The sequence below is a fragment of the Homo sapiens genome, chromosome 4, assembly GCF_000001405.40.
Source record: "Homo sapiens chromosome 4, GRCh38.p14 Primary Assembly".
In the NCBI taxonomy this organism is placed as follows: Eukaryota; Metazoa; Chordata; class Mammalia; order Primates; family Hominidae; genus Homo; species Homo sapiens.
The window spans coordinates 119,179,173-119,191,856 of record NC_000004.12 but is presented as its reverse complement, the minus strand read 5'-3'; the positions used below and the strand labels follow the sequence as shown (position 1 = coordinate 119,191,856).

Sequence of the window (12,684 nt, the reverse complement as noted above, 5' to 3'; positions counted from 1 at the left end):
GGCGGTCATTGGAATGCTCCTTGTAGAACACCAGCAACATAATTGGCCAGGGGCCCCAGTTCTGCTGTATTCTGAACTCCACGATGCATTGGTGCAGAGGCTGCCTGCACAGGCCACTCATAGCTAATGACTGTGACAGTGCCACTAAGGTAGGCTGTTTCTAGGAAACACAGGACCCCTCTGAGGATGGCTGACTGGCTCAGGATCTCCCAACAGCCTTGCTGAATCTTCCTGAAATTGCATGACAGCCTAGAACACTTGTACGCATTTCCATTTTAGGCCTGCTGGCTCTCCCAGGCTTTCTTTTTTTTTAATTTTTAATTGTTGTGGGTACATAGTGGATATATATATCTCCAAGACATTCTTGATTCCCTCCCCATTTTCTTTCACACATGCATTTCTCCTAATAAAATTCTTGCATGTTTAATCCCATCTTGACATCTGCTTCTCAGAGGATCTGAACTAACACACATTAGGGAGTAATAAGTGCTGTAAAGAAAAATAAAAGCCCAATAAGGTATTAGAAGTGTGCTCTTTTAAATAAGGGTGGTCAGGAAAGGTCTTAGGAGGAGGTGATGTTTGAGCCATATAAGTAGTTGGAGAAAACTGTGATTTACAGAGTGAAGTAAATTGCTTGAGATTATTCATTGATTTGTGGTAAATCAGCATGTAAATTTGTTACTGTGAAGCTAGACTCTTTAAATAAAATTGCTTTAATATATTATTTGTGAGTGATGATAAATGTAATGAGAGTATCTATTTAGATAACAATCCACATCAAACAATTGTGTCTATGTAGACCAAAATTACTTTAAAAGAAGTGAATAAAAGGCTTCAGAAACCATAAAATAACGCAGTTAGCTTTTGTACAGCCTGAATTGTATTTCCTTCCAGCCTACTTCACTCTGGCCTTCCTTTCCCCCCTATCCACACCCCTTCTTTTATATTTATTTTGTTAGTGATGCAGCTTCTTTAATGAGCAATTTCAAAATAGGGAATGACATTTACTTTATATTTTTTTCCTTCTAACTTTCCAGTCCTGTTTCCTGAAACATCTCCACTGCCCTGAGTTGTCATTAAAATGTTTTTCAAAATATCACACAATGCAGGCTGGGCTTGGTGGTGCATGCCCGTAATCCCAACGCTTTGGGAAGCCTAGGTGGGAGGATCACTTGACCAGGCTGTGCAACATAGCAAGACCCTACCTTTAAAAAAAATTTTTAAATTAGCCAAGTGTGGTAGTGCATGCCTATAGTCCCAACTACTCAAGAGGCTGAGGCAAAAGGGTCACTTGAGCCTAGGAGTTTGAGCCTGCAGTGGTAAGCTATAACTGGGCCAGTGCACTCCATTCCAGCCTGAGTGACAGAATAAGAAACTGTCTCTTAAAAAAAAATTACATAATACAAAATGGCAAGCACATTCTTATTTTGATCTGAACTATAAGCTCTTTCAAATAGCTTTTTTTCTCTCTTTGCCCTTATGTACCAAATCTTCCCACTGAAATCACATTACATTGAGAAGTCAGGGTAAATTTATATCCAGGGTTGCAATCTAGCTCCTCCATTTAAGAAATTCAAATAAGAACCCCTACTTTTATTTAATAACATTTTAGTTTAAGCTGTTAAAATTCTTATACACTTTTACTTCCTTTTTTGTTAGTTCTGGAAAGTTTAACTTGTAAAAGGCATTATAATTTTTAAAAAATTATTTTATATATTTGCAGTGTGCTTTGATCAGTTAGTTTGAAATGGATTCCCTTTGCTTGTCTTTTGGTAAAAGCATGGCACTTTTCTGCCTTTCATAGAAAGTGAATGGCCCTTCTTCCTACAGAATAGAGTGTGGAGGGCAAAATTATTTTTCATAAGAAAAGGGACAAAGTAATACTTTTCTAAGCTTAATAAAAGACAGTTGTGGCTGAAAAACTGCAATTATGTCATGTAAGTTTTATCTTGCATAAGCAGCAGAGTGAAGAAATTCCAGAATTAATAAGCCTGCTGGTACAGCTGTGCCCTTAGTTGAAAAGTTCAGGGTGTTCTTTTCATACTCACGACTGGACATTTTGCTCCATATTAGCCTTTGCAAGATTAATTGGCTCCCTCCACTTCCAAGCTGCTAAAATATTTATAAATGGGTCTATTTATAGGATGTAAAATTTAAAGTAGATGCAATAAATGATCATTTTGACTAAAAATTTTGTCTATATTTGGCTTGATTTTGTAATAACCAATAATTAGTTATTTTTAATTGTCAAGTCCTCTTAAATATTGAGTTACGAGATGAAAAATAAAACGTTTGAGAAATGATGAAAGGAAGTGGAGAGTTAAAAGCCAAAGACAGTCTTTCTAACCATAGCTTTGGTTATTAATGTAGCTGTAGTTATCATCCAGGGGGCAGTTGGCAAGTTGATCATCAGTCCTGCCAATGATATTAGAAGAAATTGGCTTAAAATAGAAGATATAATTTCATGACCCAGAAGTCTATCGAACAGTATAATGAAATCTGAGAGAATTTCCTCTAATGTTTTAAAAAGTAGAAAATGTTTTCTTTTGAAGGAGTGGTTTTGGTATGTTATTAACTAGATGATTTCTTTCAGCCTTATGTCATGCATTTCTTAACTCTCTTTCTCCTGCTTTCCCACTCTTTCTCCTTAGAAAAGGAAGATTACATAGATCAAACAGGTGTACAATACTGAGCAGAAATGAGCAGGTTTAATCAGAGTGCACTTTTGTGTTTCTCCAATTTCAAAGTTAAATCTGCATACTGCTGTTTTATTTAGTTTGCTTTCAACACAGTCTGAAAGTTCAGTTTCTTTATGAATGCCTGTATAACTTTGGATAGTGACTCTAAAATTACTCAGTGAATAGATGTATTTGCTCAAAATTAAAATAACAGAGAATTTTTATTATTTTGTCTAAATACTTTAAGGCTGAACTCTATTCTTAGGAAAAGTTATGAACCATGTGTTCTTAGAGCATGTACTTTAGAGCCAGACTCACCAAGTTCTTCTAATTATGAGCTAAGCTTATTTCAAGTCACGTTAGTTCTCTGAGGCTCAGTCTTTTCAATATAAAATTGAGATTATTTGTAATGCCATCCTTACAGAATAATTATGAAAATGCAATATTAAATATATTAAATTGCCTTTATAAGGAAATGACTACAGTGTCTGACATTTAGTACTCCAGCAACAAATTTTTATTCTTTTACCTTTTTAAAAAATATTTTTTCTCCTTTTTTCCATATCTTATTTATACAAAAGCAGGTGGAAAAAATGTCGCGGTCTTTCTGTTGTTCTAAAGAGACTATCATATTTCTTTTGACTTTGAAAGATTTAGCTGTTTTTCAGGTTAATGGAAAACCCATTCAAAATTCCTTTTGAATTCTGAATTATGTAACAACCAGAGTGAAATGCTGGCCTTTCTAAAGGTGTCAGCTGAGCTAGAATTAATAGACACTTCCCAGAAAGAAAGAAATAAAATAGTGAACAGAGGGTTATTTTTTCTTTTTCTACCTAATCTTTTTAAAAAAATAAGTATCACTTAGGATTTTCCTTTTTTTCTTTTGAGACGGAGTCTTGCTCTGTCGCCCAGGCTGGAGTGCTGTGGCGTGATCTCAGCTCACTGCAAGCTCCGCCTCCCGGGTTCATGCCATTCTCCTGCGTCAGCCTCCAGAGTAGCTGGAACTACAGGCCTCGACCACCACGCCTGGCTAATTTTTTTGTATTTTTAGTAGAGACAGGGTTTCACCGTGCTAGCCAGGATGGTCTCAATCTCCTGACCTCGTGATCCGCCCACCTCGGCCTCCCAAAGTGCTGGGATTACAGGCGGAGCCACCGCACCTGGCCAGGATTTTCCTTTTTAAATTATCTTTTATGATACTGGGGAGTACTGTTCTGTAGCTAACATACTTAATTGCTGGCCTCTACTTTCAGTGGTTGGCAGAATAGGGACAGTGATCATATAGTTTATATTTGGAAATGGTTGAAATAATGCAAAAAGATTTCATTTTCATTAAAAATAATGACTCATTTCATGATGTTAATAAAGAATTAAACCATTTCATCAAAATGCATAATTAATATGCCTAATTTTTATTTTTTAAAGATTAAAATGAACAAAAAATGGCATGATGGGAGCCTCATTGATAGTTTATCACAGATGCCAACATTATCATTTTAAAACAGGTAAACACCAAAACTTATAAATAAAATTAAGATATCTTAAGACATCTTTAAAAATATACAAATTCTCTACAATAATATATATAAATATAATACTTTGTCATTGTTACTTTCTGGGGGTTATATTTTCATAAGCAAATTTTTAAAATTTTTCTACTTAACAAGTCTAGATGATGATTAAAACAGTCACCAACTTCCACACTACAAACACAGATTTTTTTTTGTAAACATGTAATGTTGCAACTTGGTATTTTCATTACTACACACAGTCCTTCTTCCTATCTCCTAAACTTTATCTGATAGTTTTCTATTGATGAGACATTTCTTCTCTGCTATAAACATCTATCACAGAAGTCTTAACTGAATTGAAATGGGAGGAATTGATACTGATTTCTATAAGTTATATGTCATATGCTTCTTCAATTATATTTTAAGATATAACTATAACTTTATATTAGTTTGTGTCTTTTATGTCAATATATTACATATATTACGATAGATATGTGCTACATTGCTTTCAGATACTTTCATGCCCTTTGTTTTTGTTTGTGTCCTAAAGCATGTACTCCCCAGTTACTTGAGGATCTTAACAGAATTTAAAGATTTAGCAAAGAAAGCTGCCAATTCAAATTACTTACTCTTTCCTTCTCTCACAAACATGAATGTATTTATATGTATATTACGGTGTACTTTATTTGTTCTTACTCTTCTAAGAATGCACACATAAAGTTGAACATAATCAATGCACAGCATTGGGATTTGTGAAACTTGAATTCTGGGCACACCTTGGTCCTTAAAACTATGGTACTATGACGTCCCTTGAGTCATTCTCAGTCTCCTTGACTTAATGCTAAATGAATATAATAACTGAATTGAATTTTGGAGAATATCATCCAGAATAAATTACCTAATGATTCAAAACATATTGAAAAGTGCAAAGCACTTTAGAATTCTAAGAGTGACTAATGAAAAGACTTCATCAAGACATATTATTTTCTCATGGTCACCAGAAAGGACACACCCAACCATTTTCTCCATCAATAACATTTGTACATCATCTTCCATAGCTTTCATCCCCAGATGAAACTCTGAATAGGTCTTCATATCTCTCCCTGTATTTTGATTCTAGATTCCACTTGAAAAACTTACACTGTAATAAATCATATAAAATGAGACAAAGGTGAAACTGTCAATTACTTTTCCATCTGAACTTTTGCAGTAAAATATCTGGATTCTTTAAACCAGGTGAAAACAAAATTATGAATGAAGACAAGTGAGTTATAAGTTTTTTAAAGTAAGATTTCTAATTGTTTATTAGTATTTGATCTGAGATTGAAATTGAATGTCAGAAAAGGAAAATCACTAAATTGCTATTGTTGCTACTAATGAAAAATGCAAGTGGCTTTGCCAGTAGTTAAAATAGTAGAACAGCAACTTTTATATTCAGAGTTTTATGTGGCACATACAACTTTCTTTTCATAGGTCTTCTGATTCTGGTACAGTGGTATCATCTGTAGGTTCGGTTGTTATCACTATAGGAATATTCTCAGATATCCATCCCTTAGGAGTCCTATTAAAGGACCGTCTGCCAGAAAGGGGATTGACAAAGGACATAAACCTGGGATCTGTTAGCAATAGTAGCTCAAAATCTGGAACTTTAAATTTAACCATTCTTGATGCTTTTTCAAAACCTCCAAATGGTGTGGCAACCCTGTGGGAAATTAAAAAAAAAACAGATCTCAATTAATATTCAAATTTGTCAAAATAGAAAACAATTTCATAATTTTATAGGCATGATTTTATGGGTGTATTTAATTCATTATTTTATGGGCTTACTTATATTCTATGAATGACTGTCATTTTGTGACCTCTGAGGCAAGCATTTCTACTTTAAAGACCATGTTTTTATGAAAAACCAAATATTGATAACAAATTCATTGAAGTTCATTTGTATATACTATTAGTTTTGGACTAATCTATTCCCTGTACACTGAGCTCATTACAGACATGTCTTGCCTTTGTACTTTTACCAACAATATTTCCCCTATTCAAGATATTTCTAGGCCGGGCGTGGTGGCTCATGCCCATAATCCCAGCACTTTGGGAGGCCGAGGCAGGAGGATCACCTGAGGTCAGGAGTTCAAGATCAGCCTGGCCAACATGGCAAAATCCTGTCTCTACTAAAATTACAAAAATTAGCCGGGCATGGTGGCGGGCACCTGAAATCCCAGCTACTCAGGAGGCTGAGGCAGGAGAATGACTTGAACCCAGGAGGCGGAGGTTGCAGTGAACCAAGATCATGCCACTGCACTCTAGCCTGGGTGACAGAGTGAAACCTGTCTAAAAAGAAAAAAAAAAGATATTCCCTGCTGGGTGCATTGGCTTACACCTGTAATCCCAAGTACCTGGGATGCTGAAGCAGGAGAATCACTTGAGCCCAGGCGTTTGAGACCAGCGTGGGTGATATAGCAAGACCTCATCTCAGAAAAAAAGAAAGAAAGAAGGAAAGGAGAAGGGAAAGGAAACGAAAGGAAAAAAAGAAAAGGAAAGGGAAGGGGAGGGGAGGGGAAGGGAAGGGAGAGGGGAGAAGAGGAAAGAAAAGGAAAATAAAAGAGAGGCAGTTTCCTCCCTGACTTCTCCACTTGTGTATGTCCTATAGTCTTGCAGTTCTAACTTCCTTCAAACTATCCCTGCCCACTTTCTTAGCCACATTCCTGCAGCATCAATTGTTCTATGTCAGTCATTTGCTACTAATGAAATGGTGCTTTGTATTGAGCTTCTCCTTTTAAGAATGTGGATTATCTGTTTGGGTTATCTGTGAATTATAAACTCTTTTAGGTCAAGCAGTATGTCTGTTGCATCTTTCTACCTCAAAAACCTTAGCATTCTTCCACTTGTCTTCTGAATAAAGCCCAACTTCTATATCTTGTCATTCAAGATCCCACATAACTTTTTTGCTTTGTTTGATTTAAGCATTTGATTACTCATTCAGTGCCAGACAGAGTTTCAAGTGTGCAGTATAATCAAAGTCTTAGTTCTTACATTCTAGTGAAAGAGACCCTAAACATAAACATATACAAAAATATCTGATGGTGATAGCAGCTATGCATAAAGTTAAAATAGGGTGTTATAATATTGAATAACTGAATTACTAAAAAGTTATTTCAGATAGAATCACCAGGGAAGACTTCTCTGAAGAGGCGACATTTAAACAGCCATCTGAAGGTCAGAAGTTAGACATGTACAGTATGGCTAAAGTACATCAGCACTTCCAGTAGACAGGATAGCTAATGCCAAGAACCCTAAGGCAGAAATAATGTTGGCGTGTTCAAGGAAACAAAGAAGGCTTATGTTCCTAGGCTAGCAGGTGAGGGTGGGGCAGAGGGAACAGGGGACAGAGAGGTAAACTTGTGTGGGACTTTTTCTAAATAAGGAATATGGATTTCCTTCTAAATGTGAAGGGCAACCATTGTAGGATGGTAAGCAGGAGATTATATAACCTAATTACATTTTATAAGGGTCATTCTGGCTGCTATTGCTGTGTGAACAGATTATAAGAAGACAACAGTGCCAGTGGTTCGCACCTGTAATCCCAGCACTTTGGGAGGAGAAGGTGGATGGATCACCTGAGGTCGGGAGTTCGAGACCAGCCTGACCAACATGGAGAAACCCATCTCTACTAAAAATACAAAAAATTAGCAGGGCATGGTGGCGCATGCCTGTAATCCCAGCTACTCAGGAGGCTGAGGCAGGAGAATCCCTTGAACCCAGGAGGTGGAGGTTTCAGTGAGCCGAGATCGTGCCATTGTACTCCAGCCTGGACAATAAGAGGGAAACTCAGTCTCGGAAAAAAAAAAAAAAAGACAACAGTGGAAGGAGGGAAGCTATTGCAGTAACTCAAGCAAGAAATGATGACTTGTATTTCAGGTGTTTTATGTAAAGATGGAAAAAAGTGGGTGGGTCAGGATGTGCTTTACAGGTAGAGTCAACAGGATTTGCTGATAAATTGGATTAAAACCATGAAGAAAATAGAAAAATCAATGAAAACTCCTACCTTTAGAGTTTTAGCAACTGGCTGGTGGAAGACAGAAAAGAACAGAGTTGGTGTGTGGGTGGAAAACACGATTAGACATCCCAGTGGAGAGGTCAATCATGCAGGTTTTGCCCTATTCACTTTCACGCATCCTTTAACTGCTTGCTCTTTGCATTTATGCTCTCCTACCTCACTGCCTCTAATCATACTCTTTTTTTTTTCTCTCTCTGCTTGGAGTACTCTGATATTTACAACTGCGTTTCTAAATCCCCTTTAAGCCCTAATTCATACTTAACTTTCTTCTTGAAGCTTTCCCAATTTCCCACAGCCAGAAGTAAGCTTTCCACTCCGAAGTTTCCATGACTTCTATTTTCACCTCCCCTGCGATCCTATTTTATATCTTTCATTATATCCATTTGTATGTCTGCCTTTTTTCTTACCAGACTGTACTCTAAGAAGATTGGAATTCTCTCTGATGTATCTTTGTAATTCGTTACAATATACTTATATAATGCATTGTACCATAGGACCTGGCAAGACTATATAGATTCTCTAATATTGTGATTATTTAAAACCTGGAAGAGATCTTATTTTCTTTATAGTTCAATCACTCTGCTATCTTTCTTGACTACCTTAATTTCTGTGTGTTTTTTTATTAAAGAATTAATTAAAACATAAATATGTATAGTCTGCTACAAATTTGATTCTATTACTTTCGTTTCAATTAAATTTTTCCCTCCCCAAACAGATTTTAGTCTGTAAAAAGGAAAGTCATATTCAATTTCATTTGTATATTCCCATTGCATCTGTTACAGCAAGGGTCCCCAACCCTCAGGCTGCAGACCAACCATCTATGGCCTGTTAGGAACCAGGTCACACAGCAGAAGGTGAGCGGAGGGTGAGTGAGCATTTCCACCTGAGCTCCACCTCCTGTCAGGTCATCAGGGGCATTAGATTCTCATAGGAGTGCAAACCCTCTTGTGAACTTTGCATGTGAGGGATCAAGGTTGCAGGCTCCTTACGAGAATCTAACTAATGCCTGATGATCTGAAGTGGAATAGTTTCATCCCGAAACCATCTCCCCCCACCCTGCCACCCCTACACCCCTTCCCCCATTCTTGGAAACATTGTCTTCCACGAAACTGGTCCCTGGTGCCAGAAAGGTTGGGGACCATTGTATTACAGTGTCATGCAACTTCCTTATTAGAAGTTGCCTTTTTGTGACTGATAACTACTCTGTCCTTCCTGAGGTACCATGATCCAGGTTGAGGATGCAGAAGGAGACTTAATTCACTAGAAAGGCCTGTGTAAGAAGCAATCAGACTGCTGGAAGTAGAGTAAAGCCAACTATACTTCAAGCATCAGGCATTACATCCTTTATCCAGCCAATTTGCTAGAAGCTAAATATGTTTGTTGCTGACAATAGTTACCATAGCCAGTGAGAACTGCAGGTGAACTGTGTCACATTTTGTTTCAAAATTATTTCAGTGGCATGAGAAATGTTTTCTGTTGCTTTTAACTTGCAATATAATTTGACACTTTCCTCTTTTAAGAAGTTTTTATTATGCACAGTGGAGAAAATAATCCCAAAAGCTTCTGAATACTGTATTAGGTTAGGTCAGAAGCCTAAAATTTGAAATTTTATAATGTTGATTTGAAAATTTACTATCAAACTTCTAAAACAATAAAGTCGTGTTTTATAATATTTACTAGATACTCTGTTCTTCAGTGTACTGTTTGAACTCTGCAATATTTACAGTTTTATAATAATACATTCCTAAAATTCAGTTTATATAAATTAAATCAGATTCCAAATTTGCTAAATTTATGTTCTTTTTTTCATGTATGTAACTTATAGTTGTTCATTCTTTTCTGTATGTATTAAATTCTGGGCTCTTGCCTGCAGAATGTTTAATACATATATACTCCTCAAGATAGCCTCCAAATTCCACCTCTTCAGTACTATGCCATAGTTTTTGTAGTAAGTTGATATGCCTCCATCACATATATTTTATCCATCTAAGGAAACCAAATGGCTATTTTGAGTAGCCACTATTTTCCAGGAATATGCTGGAAGCAAGTAAGTGGAAATGAAAGTCATGGTTTTTACTCTCAAAGAACTTGTAATCTACTGAGAAGACAATAAAATGTTATGTTATTTTTCATAAGAAAGGCATACTAAATTATGTAGAATAACTCTCCCAGAATGCACAGGGAGCAGACAATATGATGAAAAGTAAAATAAACTAGAGTCCAGATGAGGATATTCAAGCTTCCAGAGGAAGAAAACAGAGCATTATGATCACAATCATGAACCAAAGATATGGAAAACAACTCTCCTGAGTTGAAGGAAGAAGAGATTATAGAGGAAAAGGAGTTACCAAGTACTAGACAAAGTTAACAAGAAAAAATAAAAAGATGCTACCTGGACATTCCTTGTCAGAATTTTAATGTTTTTAATATAATGAGCCATACAGGGAGGGAAGCCAGAAGGAATGTATAAAAGGAATGAATATGAGGCTGTCCATAATCTTTTCCAAAACATTACATACCAAAAAAGAGTATTGAATAGGTGTTGTGGAGAAAAGACTGTGACCAGGTAATTATTCATGTACCAATGTAAAAAATATATATGTATTATAGATATGCATGGACTTATATTGGTGTTCCCTTCCTAAGAGAATTACTTGAAGACATATTCCAGATAACTTTTGGATAAATAACTCAAGTAGCATAATATAAAAAGTACTGGCAATAAGAATAAAGCCACTTTAAAAATGTGGTCATAGGCTGGGCACAATGGCTCATGCCTATAATCCCAGCACTTTGGGAGGCCGAGGCAAGCAGATCACCTGAGGTCAGCAGTTCGAAACCAGCCTGGCCAACATGGTGAAACCCCGTCTCTACTAAAAAAATACAAAAATTAGCTGGGTGTGGAGACAGGCGCCTGTAATCCCAGCTACTCAGGAGGCTGAGGCAAGAGAATCGCTTGAACCCAGGAAGCAGAGGTTGCAGTGAGCTGAAATCGCACCACCGCACTCCAGCATGGGTGACGAGCAAAATTCCATCTCAAAAAAATATATGTGATCATGAAAATTAAATACAAATGCAAGCTGCTATTCCTGGAAAAGAATATTTATCTAGTTTAAAATATTTATATGACAGAAAGGCGAATAGCAGTATGCAGATTAAATTAACAAGTATTAGCTGGCAGGCAGGGGATGAGAGTGGAGTAAAGAGTACATATTTCTCATCCTCCCATGCATAGGTGGGAATCAGGAGTTATTGCTTTGTTCTTGAATTTAATTATTAGGTATATCATTCATATATACAGTTGACTGATCTAACAACAATGATGGGTAGAAGTTAAAACAGGATTTCTTCCCTCCAGATCACCACAGGCAATAAAAGCAAACAAGGTAGAATTTATAGAGCACTGGAGAAAAAATAAAATAGAGCAGTCTAAGAGATGCGATTCAGGAGTCAGACTAGCTAGCCTGAAACACCACCTTGATCAAAGGTAAATTACTTGACATACACAGCACATGATTCCCCAATCATTAAGTAAAATCCATTCCCCTTTTAATATACATATTTAATGTGTGCCTACTATGTGCCAGGTACTGTTTCAGATTTTGCTATGATCTGAATGTCTTCCAAAAATTATGTGTTGAAACTTAATCCTTACTGTGGTGGTATTAAGAGGTGGAGACCTTTGGGAAATTACCAAGTCATGAGGGCGCTGCCCTCATGAATGGATTAGTGCCCTATAAAGGGGCTAGAAGGAACTAGCTTAAGCCTTTTTTTGCCCTTCTTGCATCCATCATGTGAGAACACAGTGTTCACTTCTTTTGCCATGTGAGGACACAGCAAGAAGACCCTCACCAGACACCAAATGCTGGCAGTTTGATCTTGGACTTCCCAAGCTCCAGAACTGTGAGGAAATAAATTTCTGTTCTTTATGAATTATCCAGTCTCAGATATTTTGTTACAGCTGCACAAACTAAGACAAACACTAAGATCATAATGTTGAATAAAACAGATAAAGTTGCAGCTCTCTGTGGGTGCCTACCCTGTAGATAGGGACACTCACTTTTAGGAAAGGAATAGATAAATTCATAATATTATAAGGTAATGAAAAAAAAGAGCTATGAAGAAAAATAAAGGAGAATGAGTAGATGAGAGTTTGTTCTATGTGTCCATATCACTGTTGAATTTTAGTCCAGGAGAAAGAGTACTATTTAAATAAATTTTCAGGAAGTGCTCTGTAAGATGACATTTTAGCAAAACTCTGAAAGATGTGAAGGAATGATCTGCTGAAAATCTGAGGAAAGCATTTCAGGCCTAAGGAAACAAGGGCAAAGGCCTCAAGGTGAGAAGGAGTCTATTATGTAAGAAACAGTAGAAGCCCAGTGTGGATACAGCTGGGTGAGCTTGAGGAAAGCCTTGCAAGATGTAGCTGGAGACAGAC

General features: G+C 36.7%; 1 protein-coding gene across 2 annotated transcripts in view; it reads right to left on the bottom strand.

Annotated features, from left to right (window-relative positions):
- The window catches only part of MYOZ2 (myozenin 2), a 51,958-nt gene continuing 43,341 nt past the window's right edge, over positions 4,068-12,684 (bottom strand). For both annotated transcript variants that reach the window (NM_001440645.1, NM_016599.5), the window contains one exon: positions 4,068-5,891. In NM_001440645.1, the coding sequence (NP_001427574.1) occupies positions 5,865-5,891 (27 nt within the window). In that variant the 3' untranslated portion in view covers positions 4,068-5,864. The remainder of the gene's footprint in view (positions 5,892-12,684) is intronic.